Genomic DNA, 27,970 nt, shown 5'->3' on the forward strand with positions numbered 1-27,970 from the left:
TCCTTATCCCTCCTCCTGCTGACCCAAACTTTGGTTAAGAAATTATCAAGAAAAAAAATGCAGCTGTCCTTTCCTTGTGCTTCAAAACCAAAGGGAAGCTTCTGGTAGAAATACCCCAAGTCTAACTTTCAATACTTACGGCAATAATGTCCACCCTGACATGCGGCAGAGGAAGTTCAAATATACCATGCATTGCCAGGTGGCCCTCCCAGCTTGTGAGCTGTGACACCACATTTCTCTTCACTCAAGAAAGCATATTGAAACTCAAGTGAGTAAGAATGGCATTATTATAGGTAGAATTTTGAATATGGTATAATTTTTAAAGTAAATCATATAAAAACATTTGCAATTGACTGTCATTAGTAATAAATTACTTGCAACACACCTCACAACTTATTATGAAAAGTAAATCAATCTACCTTGTTCAATAACAGATTCCTTGTTCCTCAGGCTGTCAGAGAAAAATCCTAGGAAACTGATAAAACCTTTCATCCTGGATGAAGATGATGACCCCTCTCAAAAATATGTTATCAGTACTTTAAAAATAGCTCTCAAAATTTTAAGTGCAGGGTTTAAGTCAACACAAGAGCCATGTAATGCTGTAGCTTTTGCCATATCAGCTTGCTTTGAGACTTACTGTATCAATATCCATTGTCTTTTTCTGCCCAACCCACACTCTTTCATGGATAGAAACCACCCAGGGCTGATGAGGTCGGTCAAGAGAGTCCCCCAACTTCTGGCTGGGCCCTCTCTATTCATTCCTGCAGGCAGCTCTCAGTAAAGCCAATGTCTTACTCTAAAATAAAGGTCAGTGGTCTTGTTTTCCAGAGCAACTGTGATGACACAGGAGGAAGATTAAAATAGTTTCCTCAGCAAAGTGCTAAGGACAGTGCCTGGCCCACAGTAAATGCTATATAAGTGTTTGCTATTATTATGATGATAACATCTCAAAGCTGCCGGCAGGAACTATTGCTGCCTAAGGCTAGGCAGGAAAATTACACTTCATATCCAAATTCCCTTCTTTCTAAAAGGCAGGTGCTACCAGTTTCCAAAGGGACAAGGTCAGGCCTTAGTTCCTGGGTGTCAAAACATGGCTTATCTATGTCAGAAAGAGCTCTTGACAGGGGAGGTTAAACAAAAAAGGAGTGAAATGGCCCACACCATTCACCAGATGACCTTTTTAAGGGTAGCAAATTGGTTTTGAACTGAGAGACAGTTGGATAATAATCCAGTCTCCTTCCCTACCTCTGACCCCCTACAATTTTGAGTGTGCCTAGTAATTACTGATGAAACGTGCCAATTACCATTGCTTTTCCAGCTTTTCCCCATGTAACCCTTCTGGAGTCTTACTATTTTGTGGGAAAGATGGGGTGGGTGGGGGTGGGAGTCTGAGCGCACGGGAGGTCAGATGTGGCAGCAAGCAAAAGTGAATGTAAGCAGTCTGGATTCCCTACCTGGCCCTACGGAAAAGCTCTGCCCAGGCTAGAGCCAAGCACCTCCCCTCAGTGTTTTTGCTTTGTTCTTTTCAAATTACACTTATACAATTTGGAATGCCCATGTTGCCTACTCATGCCCAACCATAATCAAACCAAGTGGATTTTCTGCTTTCAACTGGGATCTGTAATACACTCAATGGCCATTATAACCCTCTCCTCTGGACACCAACCAGGCAGGTATCTGGGCATTAACTTTACTTGTCCTGTCTTTTTAACTCTCCTTTTCCTCATTAAAGATGAGGTGTCTGTGGTTCACAAGACAGCTGAATCTATGACATGAAAGGGGCCAAGTGATCAGAGAATAGGAAGAAAAGGTTTGAGAGTTATCTCCCCACTCTGTTATTTCCTTAGATTTTATCTGTCCAATTAGGTGGAAGCCTTTAAAGCAGAAATGATGCTGAAATATTTCTGGCTCTCCCATCACCTTCCCTAACTTCCTAGGAAATGTTATTTGTTGTTACAGTGAGCGTGTATCCATGTCGCTTTACATCTTATAAAAGCCCATATACTTGGAGTTAAAAAATGCTAGGTCTTAACTTCACAGAGAAGTTAAAAAATTGGCCCCACATTACCAAACAGGAAGTGGCAGAACTGCATGGCTTCACCCAGGCTGCATGGCCTCAGAGCTTGCACCCTTAACCACTACTATACAGTCCCTCACACTGGTTCATCCACTTCTCTTTTTACTCTTTCACAGGCCTTATCTCTCCACAGAAAAATTATTTACAGAGGCTTAAATAAGTGAGTTTAAGAAAGTAGACAGGGGAGTGTAATGGAAGCCAGGAAGGAGAGGAACTCAAGGGCTTATTTCCAGTTACTGGGGAAATTTTATGAAAAAGATGAGATCTCAAGAAATGCCACAAGCCCTTTGAAAAATAATCAATTATATAAATCCAGATTAAATTACCTCTTTAAAAACACATATATTGCTGTTCAAATACACAAATGTCTTGGGGAGTCTCCGATAGAGTTCCCAGGTAAAGCAGCAGAGCTCTAGGTACATTTATTAAGCCCACAAACCATTACCTGAATAAACACTGAGCAAGTGAGAGAATCAACATATGAAGTTTGCCCTGCCTAATTCCTTCTCCCAGCTTGGCAGGGTGCTCTACCACCCACACTGAGAAGGAGAGCTCATGCCTCTTACCTCAACCATTTCTGATTTTCTGTGCAAAGCTGACATGTTAGGTCGGAGCAAATGAAACAAATGAGTATTCTTGGGAAGCCTGAGGCCCAGTGTGCCACAGAGGCATGCAGGCCCCTGAGCATCTCAGAAAGTCATTTAGGAATTCATCCGATGGGAGGGAGCCCAGGCCAGCTGTGGCCATGAGAACATCCCAGATAACACTAGCTGCAACCCCCACCATCAGGTCACAGCACTGACAGAAGTGAGGTGGCTAAGGATAAATTTGTTTTACAGGAACTGCTCCCCAAATCTCACCCCCACAAGCAGAACCAGGCAGCCCAGTGTGGCTCCTCTGGGGGTACACCACCAGCTCGGGCATCAACTCAGCATCATCACATTCAGAAAGTAAGTGGCCCACGGTGAGATCATGAGCAAAAGGCTGGTAGAGGTACCTGGGAGATAGTGGGTCAGACAAGAAAGGAATACAATTCATGTACAAGTTCCAGGTTCTTCTAACCACTGGAGTCCACACTGACTTCTCCCCTTGCAGGCTCCTCTAGCAGACATCCTTGCTTTGCCCAATTTCACAAGCCAGCCATCTCATCTATTGTGTGTTCATGACTCAAGGCAGAGGCTGTGTCGTCTATCTGCCTTCTAGGACAGAACCTCATTTGATCTTCATCACAGAGGAGGCCTATCTTAGTCCATTGGGGTGCTACAACAAGATAGCTTAGACTGGGTAATTTATAAATAACAGCAATATATTGCTCACACTTCTGGAGGCTGGGAAGTCCAAAAACCAAGGTGCTGGCAGATTCAGTGTCTGGCAAGGGCTCTGTCTGCTTCACAGACAGCACGTTCCTCACAATGTAGCAGAGGAAGGAAGTTCTCTGGGGCCTCTTTTATAAGGGCATTAATCCCATTTATGAGGGCAGAGCCCTCATGACCTAATCGCCTCTCAAAGGGCCTACCTACTAATACCATCACCTTGGTGGTTAGTTTTCAACATATGAATTTGGGGGAAACACGAACATTCAGACCACAGCAAGGCCCTTAACACTTTCTGGATTAGGTGATGGGTCGTTGAGAGCCCAGGGCACAGCAGCTCTCCGAGGTGAGTCTCTCAGATACCCTCTGGCAAGTCTCTGAGAGTTAAAAGAAACAGACCCCTTTCTCCTTGCTTTTGGTGACAGAAGAACCAGATGATCAAATTATCAATTAAGCAAAGCAAGCTAAATGGGAAACAAAGTATCCTTTCATATGGCCTATTTTTTTTTCTTTCTTACTTCAAGTTCTTAGAATATACTTCTCAGAAAGCTGTGCATGTTGGGTAGATATTTTCTGAATGGAACTCAATCAAATGAGCTTAGGTTTGGAAAATGCTCTGACTTGAGAAAGGAGAATCAAAGCGCATAGAAATTTGGGTAATGGTTGGAGTTTACCTGAGGATTAATCCAGACTATGGTAGCTACAAAGTAGCACAATGCTTGTCTGGGCATGTGCAGATGAAGTAGGAATTCTAAGCCCCCAGGAACCCCCTTCATCTTCAATTACCGTCCAAACCAGCCTGTTACAATGCCTAAAATTACACCATAAACAATTAATTGATCTGGGTTAAGGCTCTGCATTAACATTTATGTTTTCATCTGAGCAAATTCCAGATATCACCATGGTCATTAAAGGCATTGCCGTCTGAGAAGGATAAGCTGCACCAGCTGTGGGCATTTACCAGGACACTCATGAGATTTTTACTTTGTTGGCTAAGAGGAAGACCTCATGTGACTGACAGGGAGGCTGACTTTGGTGGGGAAGGGAGAACAGGTGCTTCTGAGGAGAGCTAGTCTGGGCAGGGCTGTGAAAAGAGAGGTGTGGGTAGAGAATATAAGCTCATCTGGGGTGCACAACAAAATGGGGAAGGACACAGAAGGACAAGGAGAAGGGCAGGTCTTAGCCACTTCATTGTTCTTTCTTGTTCAAGGTCTGGTCACAAGTTCTCTTTCACCTTTAATCTCCAATAAGTTAATGCCTGGAGCATCTTCAATTAGTATGTCTGTCTGTCTCACACACACACACACACACACACACACACACACACACACAGCCCTCAGAAGTCACACTCAGCTCCCCTAGAATTGATTTTAAAAGCCAGTCCTAATTCTGATGGCTCTGTCCATGGTTCTAGCAGGCAAGGTTCTGAAATCTTGCAATACAGAATCATAGACTTCAAAACTTAAAATTGACATATCTATCATTATTTACGCTACATTGAATTCCAAATGATTAAAGATGATTAACTCATAAAAGAGATAAACTAGGGGAGTGACGGCAATTGATTTCATGAAAGGATTTCCTACTGAACCCTGTTGAACAGGACTCCCCATTTCCCTCAACAAGTCCCACCTATTCCCATCCAGCCCCCAGATGCAGGGACCTCATCAGAAGCTGTCTCTTCTTTGGGAGTCACAACATTGGTTGACTGTACTTCTTAAGTCTTCTCACCAAAATGTCCCAGAAGGTACAGGGAGCAAGAGAGAAAATAGAGGCCCAGCTCAGGGCCCATAAAAAAACAGCAACATTTCTTTCTTCAAGTCCTACATTTTATCTTACAATTAGGTAAAGTTTGCATTCCACTAAATAAAGCATGTTTTTATTCAATATAATCCCCCGCCACCCCCCACCAAAACCTTTGGGGAAAACAGATGCTCCAGGAAGCAGCATTTGGAAACCAGAGGCACGGCCTTCCTGGGGTGGCTCAGCCTTCTCTTCTGCCCCTCTGCACCATGTATGGAAGATGCCACCCCCCTTGGCAGCAGGAGAAGAGTGAGCTGTAGGCCCCTGATTCTGATGGCTGACCTGCTCATGGGGCTTCCTAGGGCCTGGAGAGGGTACCCGTTTGAACAAAAAGCCTTAATAGCACCTACCCCATAAGGTTGTTTGAAGGACTAAAGGAAATAATCTAGTTGCAGACACTGAAGAAGTGTAAGCTATTAATATTAGGATTTATTCTCCTTTTATCTAGTTAAGAAAGTGACCAAATTTTCTCCCTAGTTAAAGCCCTTTGGTAGCTCCTACAAGGACCTCTGCAACTGGCCACTACCTGACTCTCTAGCCTCATTCTCTTCTTCTCCCTGCAGTCCGTCATGCCTTGGGCCCCACTGTTTAGTCTTGGATGGTTTAGAATGCTCCACACTTCCCATGCTCTTTTGCACCTCAGGGCTTTGTGTGTGCTGACTGCTCTGGCTGGAATGCATGCCCCCACACAGCCTCCCCTCTAGTGGTGAAGCCCCCTCATCTGATTAGATGCAGAAGGAGACAGAACCTTTTCTGTGAAGACTTGTGAGCCCCCCTGCCTCCATAGACCTAGCGTACACCCCAGGCATCACCTTTCTTCTTCTACTTCCAGTATTTGTTGTCTGCCTGAGTCACTTTTCAGATGTCCAGCTCCTTGGGAATGGGAATTCATCTCTGTATGTCTTTTTACATTTAAAAGACATTCAACAAATGTTTGATGTGTGAGTGAATGAGTGAGTGAGTGTGTGTGTGTGTGTGTGTGTGTGTGTGTGTGTGTGTGTGTGTGATGCTGGGATGGGGCGGGGGAAGTGTTGATAGGTGCCAGGGGAGATGAAAGATATATTTGCCTAGCATATAGCCTGTAAAAATGGACTGTCATGCATCAGAGGGCAGAGATTCCATCTACAAAAGTCTGCTGATCAGTCCCTAACCTAGTGCTGCAAGACTCAAGGAGGCTGCCAAAAAAGTTTCTATATGTTGATCACAATGGATGCAGGGTTTTTACTTGCCTGTGAATCAATCTATACCATTCTTTCCCCACAGTTGAGTGCACAGGTCCAGGATACTATACCCTGTCCCTATACACACATGCACATGCATGCATGCATGCATACACAGACACACACACACACACACACACAGAGAGAGAGAGAGAGAGAGAGCGCACAAGAGAGAGTACACTTCAGCTATCTCCTGCCATTTCAGTTTTGCCAGAACTGTTTATTTGCCCATAAGTGGGTGTTTTGTTCAAGATTTTATATTTTTTCATTATAGTGATTTTAATTATCTTATCCATTTTGCTTTCTGCTGGCTGCATTTTAGCTTACTGTTCTTTTGCATTGTTTTATTTTTAGTTTTAACTTTTTTTTTTAGAGATAGGGTCTCATTAAGTTGCCCACGTTGGAATGCAGCAGTCATCCACAGGCACAATCACAGTGCAGTACAGCGTCAAACTCCTGGGCTCAAGCCATCCTTCTGCCTCAGCCTCCTGAGTAGCTGAGACTACAGGAGTGTGCCACCATGCCCAGCTTTGCACTATTTTATCTCCTTTTTAAAAACTTTAGATTTTTTTAAATGGGATGTTCCTGGGTAAAGAGTAGGCATTTATTAAGATTGCCCATGACTTGGGAGGCCGAGACAGGTGGGTCACCTGAGGTCGGGAGTTCGAGACCAGCCTGACCAACAAGGAGAAACCCCATCTCTACTAAAAATACAAAAGTAGACAGGTGTGGTGGTGCATGCCTGTAATCCCAGCTAGTCAGAGGCTGAGGCAGGAGAATCGCTTGAACCCTGGAGGCAGAGACTGCAGTGAGCAGAGATCGCGCCATTGCACTCCTGGGCAACAAGAGTGAAACTCCATCCCCCCTCCAAAAAAAAATTACCCATGACTAGAATACAGAGGTTCCATATCATCTGCCCTTGAAAACATCTAGATTAATGATAAGGATGGGAAACAGATACAGAGAAAAAAAACACAAACTCTTAAAATGTATACATAAATGCACCCCAAATAATCCTGAGCATCTAAATAACCAGGTTCCAGGAAGACAAGTGAAGGAAGAGGTTAGAGCAGCTGTGGGGAGCCGGAGGAATGGTTCTGGAGCCGTTCTGATTACCCTCCCAGATCATCAAGGCTCTAATTCTCACAGTACTTACACCTCTTTTTTGGGTTTTCTGCACAGCATGAGCAACTGCTAGGCATAATTACTTAGGCTGGGTGCCTGGGCTGCTTGCTTACCAAAGAGTGTTGACTACCCTCTCTTCCCCCTCCTCCCAAGCAACATCACCATTTATGCAGAATTACATGATTCAGCTCTTGCTAAAGGAGGTTGTAGCTGCTTTCTGGTAAAGGAACAAAGCAAAGAAGGAAAGGCAGTCAAGAAGTAGCCAAAGCCACGTGGTGATCAGATCTTTTATTTTCAATCTCATCATGCCCTAACTTGTGGATTTTCACTAGAGTATTTCCAGTGGAAAGTAAGGAGAGAGAAAGGGTAGTCACTGGGCAGCCAGAGGACAGGGAAATGGTCTCAGAGCTAAGTGGTTCAGTCACAGAGTAACTACGAGGAAAGACACCCAAAGGGAAGAGACTGAGGGGGAATAAAAGAAAGTCATCAGGTGCATAATGAAAAGGTAGATTTCTGTGGTCTGGGTGTATATTTGACCCTTTCTCTTCCAGTACAAAAAATGTTTGCTATCTTACCTGTTGGCATTTAGAACTATAAACTTTTGTCCTTCAATCAATTAAGATTTTGAGTCAATTAATATTTATACTCTTTCTACTCAGGATTCAGACTCTGACCTCTTCCCTTGTCTATCTGTATTCATTTCTCAGATCATCTCACCCAGTCTCATGGATTTAAATACTATCAATAGGCTAATGGCTCCTGAATTTATATAGTTAGCCCAGAACTCCCCTTTGATCTCTCAATCTGAACTCTCAATTCCTACATGCCCTCTCCCCCTGCACATACCCCTCAAACTCCATCCTCCAAAAGTCCTCATCAACTCAGTAGCAACTTCATCCTTCCAGTTCATCAGGCCAAAGGCCTTGCAACTGTCCACTCTCAAACACCCACAGAAAGTACTGTTGTAGCATCTGGCCATTTCTCCCCACAACTCCATTGCTACCAACTTAGACTAAGTCACCATTGTTTCTTAACCGGATTATTACAGTCTGCTCCTGACTCATCTCCCTGTTTCTACCCTTGTCCCACTCTGTTCTCAACATAGTTACCAAATTTATCTTTCAAAATTTAAAACAGAACATATCACTCCCCTGCTCAAAACCCTCCAAAGATTCTATCTCCCTTAGAATAAGAGCCAAAGTCCATGCATTGGCCTGTAATATGTATCAGTTCTAGGCCCACAAGAATGAGTTTCCACCTCCACTTCTGAATTCATTTGCTACCACTCTCCTCTCATTCACTCCCCCCGCAACCATATTGGTCTCTTTGCTTCCCCTCAGACACCTCAGGGCCTTTGCACCTGCTATTTCCTCTGCCTGGACCCTCTTCCTCAGATATCTACACAGTCTTCTCCTTCAATGAATCTAAGCTTTTGCTCAAATGTCTCCTTACTTGTGAAGGCTTCTCTGGCCACTCTACGTCAAGTGATCCATGAAGGCAGTGACCGTATTCACTGATGTATCTCTGATACACAGCACAGCCTGACACATCAGAAACTCTCATTGCATGTTTTGTGAACAAATGAGAAAATGTAGCTAAAGCTGGGCACATGACTCAAGCTAGGAAAATCGATGTTCTCTTCTGGGTCTATGACTCCAGAGGGTTGGGAAAATCAGTTGGAATGGATCCATCCCAGCAGTAATGCCCTGATAACATTGAACCTGTATTCCTGGCTTGGCTTTTTTGCTTTTTTTTTTTTTTTTTTTTTTTTTTTTTCTGAGACAGGGTCTTGCTCTGTCACTAGGCTCCGGTGCCGTGGCACAATCAGAGCTCACTGCAGCCTCAAACTCCTGGGCTCAAGGACTCCTCCTCCTGTCTCAGCCTCCTCAGTAGTTAGGACCATAGGTGCATGCCCCCACACCCAGCTAATTTTTGTATTTTTTTGTAAAATGATCTTGCTATGTTTCCCAGGCTGATCTTGAACTCCTGGGCTCAAGTGATCCTCCTGCATCAGCTTCCCAAAGTGCTGGGATTACAGGCATGAGCCATTGCGCCTGACCTCGATTCTATTGTTTCTCAGCCTGATTCATCAGCTATACCTTAAATTCTGTGAGCAGCTTTACCTCCTTCCAATAAATTCTCCTTTTTCTTAAGTAGCTAGTGTCACTTTCTGGTGCTTAAAATGTAATAACTGCAATTGATAGGCTGTTTCACTCCCAATTCCTATACTATCCTGTGCTCAATAAAAGTATTACATGCTCCATGAGAGTTCTAGTCAGACAGATTGTCTTTCTACTGATATTCTAGGAATGATCCTCAGTCTAAAGTTCTACAATCTTATTAAAAATAATATTGACAGGTGCCCATATTACTTTGTATCTCTAAAATGTGAGTTAACCCCTCATTTTACTGAAAAGGAAATGGAAGCCCAAGAAGTGAAGTAGGAGACTGTATGAAAAGAGTCCAGACGTTAGAGCTTGATTTGCCAATCCTGTTCTCAATAGTGCTCACTCCCCATCCTGACTAGAACTACAACAGTAGGGTCAGTTATCTTGCTCATTGTCTTAGGACTGAACCTTCATTCTGCATCATAGCTTCTGGAGTTAGGGAGCCCCCCCAAGCAACAGCTAGAGGCCCCCACTAGACTGCATGGTTTGCTTTCCTGCCTTTGAGAGGCCATATCTGGCTATGGAAAGTCCTCAGAGATGAAGCTAACTTGGCAGGACCCAAGGCCACCCTGAACATGCACTGCTGGGCTGGTGCTGCAGTATTTTACCAGGCTTGTTATCATTGAAAAGAGACTAGCAGAGGTCAGGGATAAATAAGAGCTGATAAGTCTTAGTAGTCTGGCATGAATGCTCACTGATACCTTTTTCAGCTCCAACTTAAAAGTGCTTGTAGTTGTATTTGGAAATTGGCCATAGGGTCTTAGCTAAACTGAATTTTCAGGCTATGATATCTGCAAGTTTAGAAGTCACCTTAACTGCATGACACACAGTTGATCAGCACCCAGGACAGCATCTCTTGTGAGCTTGGGGAGGATGGACCTCGCAGCACAACACAAACCCAGTTGAATTCAGGACTCTAGGGCCTATATTCTGCAGATAGAAAAGCTCAGCTGTTGCATTATAGTCTCAGTCCTAAAGGTCAATCCAAGATACCAGGGGGGGAAAAAAACACAGAAGCACAAACAACAAAAGCTTAATCTTGCAGGGACTCTATAGAGTTAAATGTAGAGTGGCTAGAGGGACAGGAGCTAAGTAAAGATAGTAAACCTTCCTGGAAACCTACTCAGGGATTTGAAGAAAGGAAGAAAATGGATATGCTAGATAGAAGGATACACAAGGCAGGAGGGCACAGACAGATAAAGATGAACAAGACAATCCAACCCTACACATTTATTTCCATCAATACATTCAAAATGTTCCCCAGAACATCAGGAAATACCATCTCTGAAAAGAATGTCCACCTCATTTTTCTTCAAATACAGTTACAAAATCAACTCTCCGATAAAGCTCTTTTCATTCCCTCCTATCTTTTTTTCAGAAACAGACTTTTACCTTCTAACAATGGTGACTATATTTAGACCCAAAGAAAAGTTATCCATGATATGAGGCTTCTATATTCGGTTCTGCTTCTTCCTCTCATGATTACCTAACTCTATTGTTTCTGGGTTTGTTTTTCCTTCTTTTATTCCTAGATTCTCAGTCTTATACTCTGCCAGAAGCTGGTCTCTTCTGGCATGCTTTTTAGAATTTTACTTACAGGCTGCCATGATCTTATTTCCCTCACTCTCTGTTATTTACCTGTTGGGATTTAAAATAGTCATCTCCTATGTTAACTCTCTTCTCTTTCCCCCAACTTTGAGAAAAAGTCTCTGATTAAATTTTATGATTAAATTTTTTTTTTTTTTTTTTTTTTTTTTTTACTAAAAGAAACTTTGGAAGAATCAAACTCAGGCTTGTGACAGCTAAAACACACTTACCACGTCTTTTAAATGTAAAAACAGAGAGTGAGAAGGAAGAGGAGGGAGGAAAGGACGGAGAACATTTCTTCACAATCACCGTGATGGAGGAATCACACATCATCAGGTAAAGCCAGCTCCAGAGGCTAAAATATGGCAAAGGTGACTTGTCTCAAAACCAAAAATTGAAACCTATCCTTTCAATCATTCCCCATCATACTGATCAAGGTACCTGCTTTCCCCTCATTTAAAGAAAATTCAAGTCTCTAAAAGGACTAAATATCTTCCACCTAGGGAGACACATGCTCATTTAAATTGGTCCACTGCAGGCTATGATAAAGTGGTCACTAGGATCCTTCGAATGACTGGAGTACGTATCATCGAGTATAAGAAGAAGTGCTTTCTGAATGATGCCGTCACATGATCCATGATAGTGAAGACATAAAAAATAACAGAATATTGCAAACTTCTTTATTTTGGCCTGTGTAATCACAGATTTACCTACAACAGGATAAATGAATTCATATTATGAAACTGAAACACACTGGTAAATATAACATGCTCCATATAAATGGTGCAAGAGAATCCCCAAAGGCAAGAGGAGTGCAGGAGGACCCAGGCCAAACCATTCCTCCGTGGCAGTCTTGTTCCTCAGTCCTTCTGCTTATATGGGTGGGGAGGCGAAAGGAGAAAGGAATGAGGACAGGAAAAAAGCAACAGCTGTGAAAGATGGGGCCAAGCAGACGTGAAAACTGAAGCTGTACTCAGGCCATTTTCCTTCTGGGGAATCTTAACACCAAGCTGCACCTAACAATTGTTCTACCCAAGCAACACTGCAAGAAAGCAGACATGAGGAGGATAGAGGCACAGGAGGTTAATGGAAGGCCCTCACTGAAAGCCCTGGCCCACAGAATGTGCCTCCCAAACTGTGTGAGGCCTGCGAGCGTTCTGTGTACAAGAGACCAGCCCTGTCTCAGGTACCAAGCGGAAATAGTCAATAGCCCATCAACCGACAGGGGCAGCCTGGGGCACCTGCTGATTCTTGCAGTGATGATCTGTGTTACTTAACTTGACATCAGTGTGGGGATATTCTAAAGGACTACAGAAAGGAAGTGTGCTGGGGGATGGGCAGAAGAGCCCCGCTAGATTAAAGAGCATGGATGGGATTCCTGGCAGGCAAAATCTTGCTTAATTTGCCTGAAGTTAATTGATTAGAGATAGTGCTCTCATAACTATTGGAAGGAAAACAACTGGGTGAGCTGCCAGGCTGAGTCAGGAAGTCACCTGCTGGAGCTGAGGCCAAGAGGAGACAGTGCTGCCTAACCAAAGGCCTTCTCAGAACTAGCAAGTTGAGTCACAGAAAGGCAGAGAACACAAAAAACAATAAATAAAAGGACAACAGGTCAAATCTAGTCACCATGAATTCTGAAGGAATTATTTTATTTCTGGGAATTTGGCCTGAACAAATCTCACTTTATTTCTGGGAATTTGGCTAGAATAAATCTTAGCAAAAGGGGACCATTCATTCAAGGTGATTTGTCCTCAAAGGATTCCCTTCATTCCTTCATTCAGCTGGAAGTCCTGGTGCACTGGAGCCCATGGTTTTTATCTTTAAGTCCCCAGGGGAACAATGCTGGGGTAACCATCCAGATGGGAAATAGAATTCCTGGCTTGATAGTTTCATATCCCCTGCTTTCCTATGGGCTCAAGGAGGCAGGCCGCAGACCACTGCGTCTCTGGGATTTCTCCTGGTACAATGCTGGGCACTCAGTGGTTCTTATTGGATGGTGCTGAATTTGAATGACAGCAGACAGTTTGGGTCTTAGACTACTGCCTCATGCACTTTCCCAGAAAAGAATGATAAATTCAAAAGGCCCTGCTATGTCCCTAGTGCCGCACCTTCCCAGCTCTTATCTCTAGACAAGGGCTCAGGGGCTCAAGGAGAAGCTGTCTGGAAGGCAATCATATCTGGGAATTAACCTGGAAATAACTGTCTAATGCAGAGCAAAAGGAAGAATAATGTGCCTGAGACATGCAAGTTACGAACGAGGAGGCTCAGTTCATGGTGTGTGTCTGTGTGTGTGTGTGCGCGCGCGCGTGCACGTGCATGTGTGTGTGTTTTCAAGTACAGGAGATACTACAAAAAGACTTCAAAGCATTATCAATTGCATTATTTATTGGTCCAAAAAATGTATTCCAGCAGGAAGAGAGAAAAGAAAGAGGATAAAGATTAAAGCACCAGGAATAAATTAAGAATCAAGGAAGGGGGCCATTTGTAAATGTTTCATGTAGTAAATTAAACAGGCTACTTCACAAAAGATGGAGGAGATAAGGTGAGTTCCTGGCCAAAGCAAGAGTCATGGGGAGTAGAAGAAAGAGGGAAGAAAGAGATGAGATCCTGGAGCTAGACGGAGCTGTCCTTTCCTAGTAGGTGTCAGGAGAGGCACTGTGTAACTGGTTTCCCTTCAGTTGCTCAGAGGCTACTAAGTGCACAATCATAGCCAGTCCGAGTGTCCTGAAAGAGGCCCTAGGGTGGGGGTGGTACAATGAAGGGGAGAGCAGCTTTCCCAGCAAGGCGAGGCAGCCTCACAGAAAGCCTTTGGAATCAGATCTCTAGTAGGCTCTTCCATTCAGGTAGAAAGAGGTATTCCTGATCACCACCTTAGCCTTGGCAGCCAGAAAGACTGGGATTCTCCATTGGCCTAGGAAGATCTGACAATCTAGGGGTCCTGGTTACAGCCTGAGCAGTGGGCTGAGGAACCCTCCATCCCTCGCAAGAAGCCAGGGTGACCGCATGGAAGTGAGGAATCTGGAAGTCTAGGACAAGAACGCCTATTTTTAGACTTGGGGACAGGACTGGGACTGACACAGCCTCTGGCCTGCCTATCAAGAGAAATCTTTACTGTTTAAATATTTCAACAGCCACAAGTCTGCAGGTGATCCATCTAAACTGTGAAGCAGAATCAGCATCAGAGTTGGAAGTGACTCTACTCATTGACCCCCAAAATATCAAGTGCCTACTCTGTGTCAGGTTTGTTAGCAGAGCTGTCCCATAATAACTCTGGGAGCCCGCTCTGCAACATCTGGGCACTGAGCTAGCTGGGACTGGGAGCTTCCCCTTCTCCCTGTGGGAGGGACTACACTCAAGCTCCACTTCCCAGGGGCTGGGGGCTTCTACTGTCCATTGAGGTGGGTGGTTTACAGCTTCTCATGGGCCTTAGGGCTCTCCGGTGCCAGGCAGAAGGCTTTCCTAGACCACTCCTGTAAGCAGCTGGCATCCCAGATCCAGCCTGCCTGTGCCTTTCTATGGCCCTTCATTACTGTTTGCTCTCTCATTTTTCCTGTAGAGGGAGGATAAGCAAGGGGGATGTGGTCCCTCCACCGGAATGCAGGCTCAGAGTATGCCCAAGCCCCAGCACCCCTGATGAGATAATGAGGAACCCATGTCTATCTTATCTTACTGACCATCGGCCCATGTAAGTCTATTCCTTAACCTCTGCAGCATTGTAGAATTTGTCCCAAATCCTAATACAGTGGTCCTCAAGATTCAAAGTGCACCAGAATCACATGCAGGGCTTGATAAAATACAGGTTGAGCCGGACACGGTGGCTCACGCCTGTAATCCCAGCACTTTGGGAGACCTAGGCAGGCGGATCACGAGGTCAGGAGTTCAAGACTAGCCTGACCAACATAGTGAAACCCCATCTCTACTAAAAATACAAAAATTAGCCAGGCATGGTGGTGTGTGCCTGTAGTCCCAGCTACTCAGGAGGCTGAGGCAGGAGAATCACTTGAACCCGGGAGGCGGAGGTTGCAGTGAGCCAAAATTGTGCCACTGCACTCCAGCTTGGGCAATAGAGTGAGACTTTGTCTCAAAAACAAAAACAAAACAAAACAAAAAAAACCCCACAGGTTGTTGGGCCTTACCCCATAGATTCTAATTCAGTTGATCTAGGGTGGGGTCATGAATTTACCTTTTTAATGAGGAACCACACATTGAAAAATATGCCTAGTGTCTGGGAGCCAAAGATCCATGGGACCCACCCTACAAGACCCAAGCGCCGTTAGTTACCGGGGATAAAGCAGGTGGCAAAGCTACCCTGAGATGTAAATGTTAAACAAAGATTACATATGTAAAATTATAAATTGTTGGCCAGGCATGGTGGCTCACTCCTGTAATCCCAGCACTTTGGGAGGCCAAGGCGGGTGGATCACCCGAGGTCAGGAATTCGAGACCAGCCTGGCCAACATGGCGAAACCCCATCTCTACTAAAAATACAAAAATTAGCCGGGCGTGGTGGTGCGTGCCTGTAGTCCCAGCTGTTCTGGAGGCTGGAGACACAAGAATCGCTTGAACGTGGGAGGCAGAAGTTGCAGCGAGTGGAGGTCATGCCACTGCACTCCAGCCTGGGTAACAGACTGAGACTCTGTCTCAATAATAATAATAATAAATTGTTTAAGTGCTATGAAGAAAAAAAAATGCCATGAGTAAAAGCCAATGTAGGGACTAACCTGGATTGGGAGCATGAGAGCAAGGGAAGGTCTCTGAGGAAATGGTTTATGGGTGCCTTCCATCCCCTGGATTTTTCTAGGGTAGCCAGGATTCAACTATTCTGCTCCATTTTTTAACCTAGAAATTCTGGTATTTTCGCATCCAAAACTGTATTTTTCAGATGGCTGCCTGCTTCTGAAAGTAGCCAAAAAGACCTCTGTTTGACTGCATATGCCAATTAAGAAACGATGGTCACTAGACTTAAAAGCCATTTATCTGGTATAAAATGATATGAAGCAGGAGTCACATGATAGGGGTCTCCTGGCATCTCCATACTGTTCTGGAAAGTACCACCACTTTACATGTTTCAAATCACACTGGGGAACTAGCTTTTTCTACTATCCCAAAGTTGGTCAGATAAACCCGCTCCCACCCGCCCCCAAGCAGTGCTGGGCTGGCCCAGCCTCAGTGCCCAGTTGCTTTCTCTTCTCCAGCTGTCAGTTCTAGAAGGCTTTTCAGGGGAGGCCTTAGGGGAAAGAGGTGGGGAGTCAGGAGGGCATCCACAGTGGCTGTATAGCCAAGCAGCCCTCTTCTGGGAGAAGGACCCAGGCCTGTGGTGGGTGGTAGCAGAGTAACAGGGAGAAAGGTCACCCTGGCACTAGAGGGGGGGTGGTGCTTTTACTCACAGAATACCAGGCAGGCCAGCATTTTAAGGGGAATGCCAGAAGAGGCCCATTCTTCGAGAGCTGGGGCAGCCACACACACAGAGAGAGGCTGTGGTATGCCAATTTCTTTTTGGCCAGCATCCTGGGATCTAGTTGATCCTGTTATTGATAAATATGGGGCAGTGACCCTCTAAAAAGAGGTTGATCTTCAGGAACTGTCATGGTGGCCAGCTCCAGGGGCACCCTTCTTTTTTCCCTTCTTACTCTGTGAGTCATGCAGCCTGCCAGACTCTGAGGCAAGGCCCCAGATGCACTTTATACTTGTGCAGAGTTTTATTGTGTAAAAACTACCTCTCATGCTCTTAGGTGAAACTCATAACAATTGTATGAGTAAAGCAGAGATGCCTCCCCTTTCATTTTACAGATGAGGAAATAGAGGCTCTGGAGGTGATGAAATTTGCTCAAGGTCATACAATTACTAAATGGTACCTGTAGAATGTGAGCCTTGGCTTCAAGTCCAGCCCTCTTTTAATCCATCCCAGTGCCTCTCAAAGCCTCTCTTCTACTCCCCATAGCACCAGGACAGCACGGGGGCTGCAATACACAGACTATGATGTCACACAATCTTTTCTTTCTTTCTTTCTTTTTTTTTTTAAATAGAGTCTTGCTCTGTCACAGTGGCATGATCTCAGCTCACTGCAACCTCCACCTCATGGGTTCAAGCGATTATCCTGCTTCAGCCTCCTGCGTAGCTGGATTACAGGTGCCTGCCACCATGCCTGGCTAATTTTTGTATTTTTAGTAGAGACAGGGTTTCACCATGTTGGCCAGGCTGGTCTTGAACTCCTGACCTCAAGTGATCCACCCGCCTCAGCCTTCCAAAGTCCTGGGATTACAGGCGAGAGCCACCATGCCCGGCTATTACAACCTTTTCTTAACTAACAGTCCCTTATGCCCTGGGTAGAGGGCACACCAAGGTTTTCTGCAGAATGGGACAGAGGAAGGGGGAAATTGTTGACTTCAGCACAGCCCTCTCTGGCTTTGGGAATCTTCTGTCCAGTAATATAGTCAGAGTAGACCGTTCATTACCATTCATTAGGGAAACTCCAGAAACTTATAAGATTTCACACTGCAACAGGGGAAGAGAAGGCCAGAGAAACCACCACCTTGTGGGTTGGAGGAAGGGACTAGGTTTTAAGTAGAAAATAATGGATTTATTAAGCAGAGAGGAATTACCAAACTGATTTCTATAAAATGAGTCCACATCTATAGTTGCCCGATTCCTGTGTGCCTATCTCCCCTGATGTTACTGAGCTCAGGGCAGTCTTAGAGAGCCACAGGGAGGTATGACCACAGCACTGGCTTATGTCCCTCTGCCAACCTGGGTTGTGCAGCTGCTCGGCAACCGAGATAGAAATCAGGGTCTAAGGAGGTAGGAATTCAGTGAGGGTCACACACTTCAGTCCTCCTCTGGGAGCTTTCACTTCATTCCCCAGTTTCTGAGTGTAAAGTGAGGAAGGGAAAGGGAAGGGTGCATAATATTAAAGTGTTTTAAATTCAGGTCCCATGAATTCATGTTTATGTTGGAGAGGATGGGGCTGATATATACCACTATATTTACTGGAAGATTTAATGAGCAGATTAATAAACAACAAAGACTTGGGAAGATATTAAGCTCCTAGGGGCAAACTGTGTATTCCTTTATCTTTCACATGCAAAAAAAAAAAAAAATGCTTTACTAAGGAACAAAGTATTTCACCTTTTTCTTAAAGTAGGCATGCTTGAATGGCTTGAATGTAATAGTATTCTACCGAGTTCTTTACTATGATTTCACAGTTTAGGATTTCATTAGTTCTAATTTGGCTAGTCCACCAACTAGTTTATATTGATGAAACTGGACATATTCATCATTATAAAAAACAACATTTTCCCCCTAGCTGCACCATGTAATAAATACATAAAAAAATCACACAAATATAATTTAAGTCCTGAGATGAGATCCTTTGACAGGGAACAAATGAGTAGAGCAGGTTCAGGAATGAGTGAGAAAAAGACAGTCAGTACATGCCAATGCACGTGTGTGTGTTCAGGCACAATGGCACTGCCAGCCACGTGCCTTGGCTCTGCTCAGGGGCAGAGCTCTGGTTTCACTCTGTAGGCGGCACAGCTGCATGGGTGTGAAGGCCAGGTCCCAGGGTGATGCATCATGTGTCAGGTGCAGGAGGTCAGCAGGAGCCAGCAGGTCCACGTGCTCCTGTGTCCAGGTGGCCTTCAGACCTCCCCAGGGCGTGACGCAGGAGTGGGATAGTGGGTATCTGGGCTCTCTTATCCCATGTTCACCCCTTGATGCCCAACCCTGACCATCAGAAACAAAACACACACATCTCACACTCAATCTGCCTCATAGACAGTCACTTTTAGAAACAGAAGGAGAAAGAAACCCTTAGTTAACGAAGCATTTACTGAGCAACTATTATGACAGAACTCCCAAACCATAATCCCTCTCCTCGAAATCCTTAAGATTTATTTTAGAGATAATACAGTGCCTAACACAGGGTTGCATGTCAGAGTGAAACTTACGGCTGGGAAATGATAATAAAAAGAACCAATATTCAACGTTATGGTACTATGGAAGCTACATAATCATAATAATAACTCTATCAAAATACATTGCTCCCCTAGGAGGTGGCAGGCCGAGATAAATAAGCACAGCCCCTTTCCAAAGAGATCTGACCCCTTACACCAAAGACTCTCCTGGCCCATGCCAGGCAGGCATCAGTTCTGAGGTGCTTTTCTAACTGGAAGGCTGGACTTGGCTTTGTGGTGACTTGCCCATCCTCCCTGGCTGGACTGTCTCACCCCACAGCCTCCTGTCACCCTTGAGTCCTCCCTGTATTAGCCCTCTTGAACCAGGCTTCCCACTCCCCAGATTTATTCAGAACCTCAGGCCTGAAACCTCCACTTGGCCCTTCACACCCCACCTGTCCTACCTGCTCCCACTGCCCCAGGCTTTGGCCTTCTGGCTGTTTCCTGTTCACAGACTCTCCTTGCCCTGTCCACTTGGCTCTGCTCCGGCTTCCTCCTCTTGCCTTCCTGTACTGCCCCAGTTTGAATTCTCCCCAGGCTCTCCTGCTTTCGGTAGCCAGGTTTGGCCTCATTTTAGAGGCTTGGCTCTTGATACCCTGCAGTCCCTCGTCTTGCTCAAATGCCACCAGGGTCCCACTATGTCCACCCAGCCCCTCAAAAAGAATCCTAATAAGAAAGTTCTTCAGTTCCCTTGGCTGGATGGGAAAGCTACCTCAGGCCACCTCAGAGCCCAGGCAGGCTCACTGCCTGCAAACAGAGAGGCAGAAACATATAGAACTCCCAAGAGAGGCTTCTGGGAGAGATTTTACCTGAGCTTTTAAGTAAAAGGAGATAATGGATGGCCAGATTTTCACTAGAGAGAGAAAACCTTGTATGGGGGAAACCTAACAGCAAAGAACAGACAGCATGAGCAATACCCACAGGGCCCTAGTGGTAATGAACAGTTCTATATCATGCCCAAGTCCTCAGTGTCAGGGTGTTCAATCAGCAACACAGCATCACCTGGGCGCTTATTAGAAATGCAGAATTTTGACCCCTCTCCTGACCTACTGAATTGGAACCTACTTGGAACCTGATTTTTAACAAGATCCCAGATGATTTGTGTGCAGATTACAGGTTAAGAGACACCAGTTTATAGAAATAACTTGGGACATAGGCAACTTCCCTTGGCCACCTCTGTCAGTGGAATGTTGTGAGGACCCCTGCATGACAGGAGCCAAGGCTGCTCACTTTTTTTTTTTTTTTTTTGAGATGGAGCCTCGCTCTGTCATCCAGCCTAGAGTACAATGGCGTGATCTCATCTCATTGCGGCCTCCTCCTCCCAGGTTCAAGTGATTCTCATGCCTCAGCCTCCCGAGTAGCTGGGACTACAGGCACACACCACCATGCCTGGCTAATTTTTGTATTTTTAGTAGAGATGGGGTTTCATCATGCTGGCCAGGCTGGTCTCAAACTCCTGATCTCAGGTGATCTGCCCACCTCCGTCTCCCAAAGTGCTGGGATTACAGGCGTGAGCCGCCGCGTCCAGCTGGCTGCTTGCTATCTTACTGCAGGCACGTGGGCTGAAATGTGGGCAGCAGAAAGAGCATGGGATCTGGAATTGAGGATGTGACTTCAAGCTCTGATTTGATCACACACTCCCACATACCACAGTTTGCTCCTTTGAGCCTCAGATTCCCCAAATGGAAAAATAGGGATAATAACAATAATACCAACCTCATAAAGTTGTAGCAAGGATCCGATAAGATAAAATATGTGAAAGTGCCTTGTCCAAAGTAAAGCAGAGTACAGACGCTAACTGTGCTATTTGTGTCCTGTACACACACGAGGACTTGCACACATTTTAGAGTTCTAAGCCAGGAAGGTCACCCAGCCTGTTACTTCAATAGACTCAGCTGCATCGAAAACATTTAAAGGCAGCAACAAGTAGGTCCTGATGAGTTTATCTGGGGCACAAAGGGAAAAATCAGACATAATTTTGGGTCTGGTAGAAACTGAGCCCAGGACAAGGTTTAAGAATCTAACTGCTCATCCCAAATCTTCAGTTTCATAAGCCAAGTCACAGGAAGGAATCTTGGTCTTCTAATTATACTGTCAAATCTCTTAAGCTGTAGGTGGTAGCTTTTTTGGCTGGGCCAGGATGGGATTACAGGGGAATCAAAAGATAAAGATAGGAATTACAAGTCAAGCAGGGACAGGTGGCAGGGAATGAGCCAATGTAAGATGGGATTTCGGAAGCCTCTTTCCAATGCCATCTTGTTTAAGACATTTGTATCTTACACTCTCCAGAGCAAACTGGATGGGCAGATACTATTAGAATCCAAGTTTGGGATGACTCTTAAAAATATGAGAGCTCATCTAATGTTCTCATTTTACAATGAACACAATTGAGGTTAAGAACTTGCCCTGGTGGCAAATTTGGAGTAGAATCCAAGTTCTGGCACCTAGTCCAGGGCAACAGGTACTTCTCTTAAGAGACACTGATCAATTCAGTCACTTAAGAGCCTCCAGAGGAAGAATAATGGACTGGTGCTAAGCTGGTAGGAGTTTCCTAGGCAGAGCTTTCTGGAGGAGGCATCTTTGAGTTGTGGTTCTATAGAGAGGAGAGTTATGTCTGGGGTTCCAGTACTCCCAGGCCCTCTTTGATGTGGTGTAGGAAACTGAGAGGGTCATCTACATAGACTGAGTTACAGTTTGGGCTGAGGTGGAGCAGAAGAGAGAGAAGGTCAGGAGGCTGATGAGCTGGACGCAAGCTCAGAAATCACATTGATGAGGCTGCATTTGACAGAAGAGCTGGGAGGGCTGTGCAGGGACAGAGCCAGGACTAGATGCCCATCCTCACACGAAGAAAGCAGTTTTAGTGGCTGTATGACAAATGACTAGAAGAAGATAGAGCCTGGACATAAAATTCAATTTTAAGAATTTTAGCAAGAGTCAGAAGAGGCTAAGTGTGGAGTAGGGCAACCAATGATCCCAGTTTGCCTGGGACTAAGGGGTTTCCCAGGATGCAAGGCTTTAAGTGCTAACGTTAGGACAGTTCCAGGCAAAGTGAGACAGCTAGTCACCCTGGTGTAGTGGGTAGGGGCCACTGGGGTAGCGGCCTGGCTGGACCTGAGGGTGCCTGCTGCTGAGAGGTAGGAGAAGAGGGGGGCTGAAAATGTGAGGGTGGAATCCTCACTAACTTTTGACTTGAAGTGCAAAGGCTGAGTGGAAATTTAGCTGTGGTTCCAGTAGCTTAAATTATTGTTTACAACATTGAGGCACTGTATGAAGAAATGCAAGAAATAAAAATATGAATAAAGCCCCCAAATCCAGGAGAAATATTAGACATGTGCTGAACCATATAAGAAACCATAGGCGATACCTGCTCTAAAGGACAAGCAGAACACCATGGAAACACAAATTAGAGAAGAGAGAGATTCCAGCTGGATGTAGACTGAGGAAGGCTGCAAGCAGAAAACAGAATCTGAGCTGGATTTTGAAGGCCAGATTGGGTTTTGATGGGAGGAGGTAAGGTAGTGTGAAGGACATGCCGAAGTGAGTACACTGCATGTTCTGTAACTATTGTAGCCCAGTGGGGCAAAGGTATCAGGCAAAAGAATGAAGATACAATCTGAACTGCAACTGGAAATACAAGTTTATAGAAGATCCCTGGGTCTGGATTTTACTCCAAGGCTGTAAGGAATCATCGAAGATTTTAGAACAAGAAAAGGACAGAGATCAGAGCTTGAAAGTCAACAAAAGGTTGTTCTTAACCAGCTATAATGAAGGAGAGTCCATAACTCCTTGGGTATCACTTACCACCAGCTCATAACTCCTGGCAGCCGGAAGCTCTAATGTCTAACACAAATCTCTTTCCTGAGATCCTGATGTCCGCTGTGCTTTGTGAATCTCTCCGTCAAGCAGAGAGTTCCACTGGTTTCTATGTAGCTGCGCTTCATGAGAAGGCAAAGGAAGCTGATATTTTACTCTGAGAGTCAAAGGAACTGTCAATTAACCAAATACTTGGACCTTCTTCCAAGAACTTCTGGGGAGAAGAAACACAGTTTACATAAGAATATTTTCTGCATAAAAAGAAGATTCCTGTGCTGGCTTCAAGGTACTCAAGGAAGAGGAGGTGGAAAATGAGAAATAGGGAACAGAGGATGAGGAGGGAAAAGAGAAGGAGGAGAACGGAGGAAATTAGAAAGAGGAAGAGGAAAGGGATGTGTAGTTGGTTAAATTATGCCTCCTCACCAAGCCCCTCCAAAGATATGTGCCAGGGTCCTAAACCCTGGTACCTATGAATGTGACCTCATTTGGAAATAAGATCTTTGAAAATGTAATTAATTTAAGGAGCTCAAGATGAAATCATCTTGCATTTAGAGTGGGCCCTGAGTCCTGTGACTATGTTCGTATAAGAGAAAGGTGTGGGAGATTTGAACCCTAGAGACACAGGGGTGAAGGCCATATGAACACAGAGGCAGAGATTGGAATGATGTGGTCACAAGCCAAGGATCACCAGGAGCCACCAGAAGCTGAAAGAGGCAAGGAAGTGTTCTCCCCTATAGCCTTCAAAGGAAATGTGGCCCTACCAACACCTTGATTTCTGACCTCTGACCCCTGAAAGTGTGAGAGAATAAATTTATGTTGTTTTAAGCCACCAAATTTATGATAATCTGCTACACCAGTCATAGGAAACGAATAATTAGGGGATCCCCCAAGTGTGTGGGGGACATGGGAGGGAGATATCACAGTATGTACCACTCTCAAGTAGCCACCAATATGATGGTTTTCTTTTCCTCAGGAAGCTCGAGAATGATGAGTAAAATCTGAGACTTCTGGACAATACAGGACACACACAAATAATGGAAAAGACACTCAAATAAGGTGGAAACTAAGTAAACAATTGAAACGTGGAGTCAGATGCCACTGACAGCCTAAGAAAGCCAAGTAGCCCAGCTTCCCCATGGGGTTGTCCTCGGCTTTGGTGAGGGGAAGAAGCAGGGTCTGTCCTGGACACTTGTTCCTGGGCTCAGGGCCCAAGTGTTTGATGCACAGCTTCCCACTCTTTCAATGGAGGTGCACCTATTGTCTCCTCAGCCAAAGACTCAGGATCATGAATAACTCATAGTAAACTCACTGGGGGGTTGTAGGCATGGATTTTTTGTAAACACCATAAAAGGTCCTTGATCCAAAAGGCTCTGCACTCAGTGCATTACATGTACTTTCTATTCTCCCCAGGCCCTACCCCACCCCTACATCAGCCCATTATAATTCTTAAAGATTTTGTGCTCAAGCCAGGGGCCCGAGTGGGGGCATTTACCCTCCATATAGTGCAAACATACACAAAGAACAATTGACCACCATATAACATAACACTTTGTAGGGTTTTCAAGCTTACAAATATCAGACTAATTTTTTTTTTTTTTTTTCTTTTTGAGATGGAGTCTCGCTCCTTTGCCCAGGCTGGACTGCAGCGGCGCTATCTTGGCTCACTGCAAGCCCCGCCTCCTGGGTTCAGGCCGTTCTCCTGCCTCAGCCTCCCAAGTAGCTGGGACTACAGGCGCCCGCCACTGCGCCTGGCTAATTTTTTTTTTTGTATTTTTAGTAGAGACGGGGTTTCACCATGTTAGCCAGGATGGTCTCGATCTGCTGACCTTGTGATCCACCCACCTCGGCCTCCCAAAGTGCTGGGATTACAGGCATGAGCCACCGCATCCGGCCCAGACTAATGTTTATCTCTGACCCAAAGGGAAAAAAATACTTCCCAAGCCAAGTAGACCTGACCTGAAAACACCACCATCTGGCCAAGAAACAGAACTTTTGGGATGATTGGATCCAAGAAATTGTTGTGTGGATTATCCAGCCTTCTTCTCCCTGGCTGCCACTCTTAGGACTAATCACTGATAGGAGGAAATGCTGCTAACACATTGATATAGTTTGGATATTTTTTTCCCTGCCCAAATTTCATGTTGAAATGTAATTCCCAATGTTGGAGGTGGGGGCCGATAGGAGGTGTGTGGGTCACGGGGGTGGATCCCTCATGGATTGGTGCTGTTCTTATGATAGTGAGTTCTCATGAGATCTGCTTGATTAAAAGTGTGTGGTACCTCCCCCAACTCTCTCTATTGCTCCTGCTTTTACCGTGTGACGTGCCTGCTCCACACTTCACCTTCTGCCCAAGCAAAAGCTTCCTGAGGCCTCCCCAGAAGCCAAGCAGATGCTGGCACCATGCTTGTATGGCCTGCAGAACCATGAGCTAATTAAAACTCTTTTCTTTATAAATTATCCAGTCTCAGGTATTTCTTTATAGCAACATAAGGAGGGCCTGATACACAAGTACACACGGGCACACACACACACACACACACACACACACACACACAGACACATACAAAGACACACACACAGAGCAGCAGCAACATTGCTGGCAGACACAACAGTCCATGGGGAAAGCAAGCAAACTTCCAGCCATGGGTGTGGGAGCATGCATGCACATGTACAAGTGCAAACAGGGCCTGCTTCTGCAGAAGGAGACATTAGTAGTCGAAGCTCATGCAGTGACAAAGGGGCAGCTGCTTACGCTTTAGTCCCCTCTGTGACCCCTGTGCATGCAAAGCAGTCACCGACAGTGGCAGAGAGGGAAGTAGGAAGCACAGAGTGGTCGGGGTGGGGGTGGGCTGCCCCTGCTCATGGGCACAGAATGCAGCTTTGCTAACAGATTAGGTGGGGCTGGTGGAAATGGAAAAGCTGCTTAAAATGATTACTTATAGAGAGAATCCAAGGAGTTTTGTTGCTTGTGACCACAGATAATCAGGGGCTGCCTCCAGCACCAGTCCAACAAGCTTAAGATGAAAGGACCCCTGTTCAGGTTCTAACCTGAGAGAAATGTCAGAGAAGAATTAGGAAGTGCTTTAACACAAAGCCCAGGATGAAAAATCTGGCAGCTCTCCAACTGTCTCAACATGCAGCATAATAGCGAAACAAAGCCACTCCGCGGCTACATTCATCCAGCCATGAGGCAGAAGGACTGGGAAAACTGGATTTGGCATGCAAGCCCTTCCCTGGGTTTTCTTCTAGCCCAGCTCACAGTTTGAGGTTTGCAAAGGCATCTGCCTCCCTGGGCAAGAAGTTTGTCTATACAGAGCAGATACCGGGTTCCTCTTTTCCATAAATATTTCTGCAAAATCCATTCATCTTCCTGAAATCTCCAATTATGAGTACACTTTGACTTTATTTCTCAGTGCACCTTTCTTTCCCTTAGCCCGATTCTTTCCCCCAGATCCCCACTTTCCTAGGGCAAAAGAAAGCGGCTTCCACTCACAGCAAATTTTCTGAGTCCTCCCCACAGTGAAGTGAAAACCAAAGAGAGAACATTATCAGAGAAAAGCAGCACTATTCATACATCCTTAACTTTACATAATAATTTCATAATTGCTTTTTATGAAATCAAGTTTAATCACATTTCTGCTGCAAAAATGCTTGAAATCGTGACTTTACGAAAGGAGAGGTTGCCAGCGTACTGCATGGCACGCTGCTAGCTATGGAACCCCTCATGGTGTACTTTTGTTTGTTAAGATTTCCAATATTTTAAACTCCATTTCCTAACTCTACAGGTGCTCTCCTCTTTTTCATATATGATCCTTCCGCCTACTGCCATCTGCCATAGGATTTGTCCCATAGCCTGGAGAAACCCTCCCCCTGCTTACAGTCTTTGGAACCCAGCCTCATATCTTGGTTCATCCAGATGGTTACAGAGATCTTCTGACAGAGTTAGGATGCAGTATCACTTTACCAATAGGGGGTGTCCAGTGTATAATGTGCTCCATCCTGAGGAATGCAGGGTTTTAGATGCTATAACACAAACAAATGTCCTCCTTTAAAAATTCATACTTTGTCAACCAGAAGTTATTTTCATATCTGGTTTAAGCATTTGCAAGAAGTGTGCCAGGAAATACAGCAGAATACAGAAGCTGTCTGCAAATAGATCTCCAAGTGATAAGGCACAATCTTCAGTATGCTGCCTGTTGCAAGAGGTTTTTTAAAAATTAAATCTCTCATGGAAAATACACTGGCCTTTGCTACTATAGGCAGCTCAGGGACAGTCAGATGGATGTAAAAGCCTGGGAAGTGAAAAGTTTGAGGAGCCACTGGGACTCTATAACATTGCCTGGTACTGGGAATTAGGATGGAAGGGATAGTGAACTCACTGGTGGCCCCCTGGGAATATTGCTTCCCAGTCCATGCTGATCCACTTGTTCTTGGGGTCCCTAGACACTTCTAGAAAAGGCTAATCCTGAAGGTTGGCCTACCCTGAAAGTCTGAGACGATTCCCTTCTGGTGTCTTCAAGCAGCCTTCTCTTAGGTAAAACAAGGTCAGGAAGGAGCTAGAAACAAATTTGGGGGAGAGGGAAGCTGGATAGTGATTTCTCTCAGAAGGCTCTCTTCCTAGGTTCTTACTGATTAGCAATTCAGATTCACTGTTCTCATATCAGCCCATCCTGGCAAAGGCACCTTCCTGATTGAGTATCAGCCATTTAATCAATCATCTTGCTTTTGTGCTGCACCTCTTCCAATTGGTGACTCTATTTCTCTGATCCTAGGAGTGCAGTCCTGGCCAATGGGCCCTTTGTAGCCCTGGGGGAGGCTGTCATCCCAGTGATGAATCTGGGGGCTTCAGCATGCCCTGTCTATCTCATGTGTAATTCCATTAAAGCAGCAGGCCATTGGCTACCACCTATGG

General features: G+C 45.1%; 1 protein-coding gene and 1 long non-coding RNA gene across 6 annotated transcripts in view, besides 1 other annotated feature; one reads left to right on the forward strand and one right to left on the reverse strand.

Moving 5' to 3' along the window:
* The window catches only part of LOC105372901 (uncharacterized), a 44,716-nt gene extending 20,084 nt beyond the window's left edge, over window positions 1-24,632 (forward strand). The window contains exons 3-4 of the long non-coding RNA XR_922550.3: window positions 11,474-11,629; window positions 24,032-24,632. This is a non-coding gene — a long non-coding RNA (uncharacterized LOC105372901). The remainder of the gene's footprint in view (window positions 1-11,473; window positions 11,630-24,031) is intronic.
* Window positions 1-27,970, reverse strand: part of KCNH1 (potassium voltage-gated channel subfamily H member 1) — a 455,835-nt gene that overhangs the window by 50,954 nt on the left and 376,911 nt on the right. The window lies entirely within an intron of this gene.
* Window positions 10,427-10,627: a silencer, noted in NCBI's record as "peak679 fragment used in MPRA reporter construct". NCBI's record gives its function as "represses an SCP1 promoter by STARR-seq MPRAs in K562 erythroleukemia cells {active_cell/tissue: K562}" and the evidence as "EXISTENCE:reporter gene assay evidence [ECO:0000049][PMID:32103011]".

The sequence above is a fragment of the Homo sapiens genome, chromosome 1 (genome assembly GCF_000001405.40).
Source record: "Homo sapiens chromosome 1, GRCh38.p14 Primary Assembly".
Classification (NCBI taxonomy): Eukaryota; Metazoa; Chordata; class Mammalia; order Primates; family Hominidae; genus Homo; species Homo sapiens.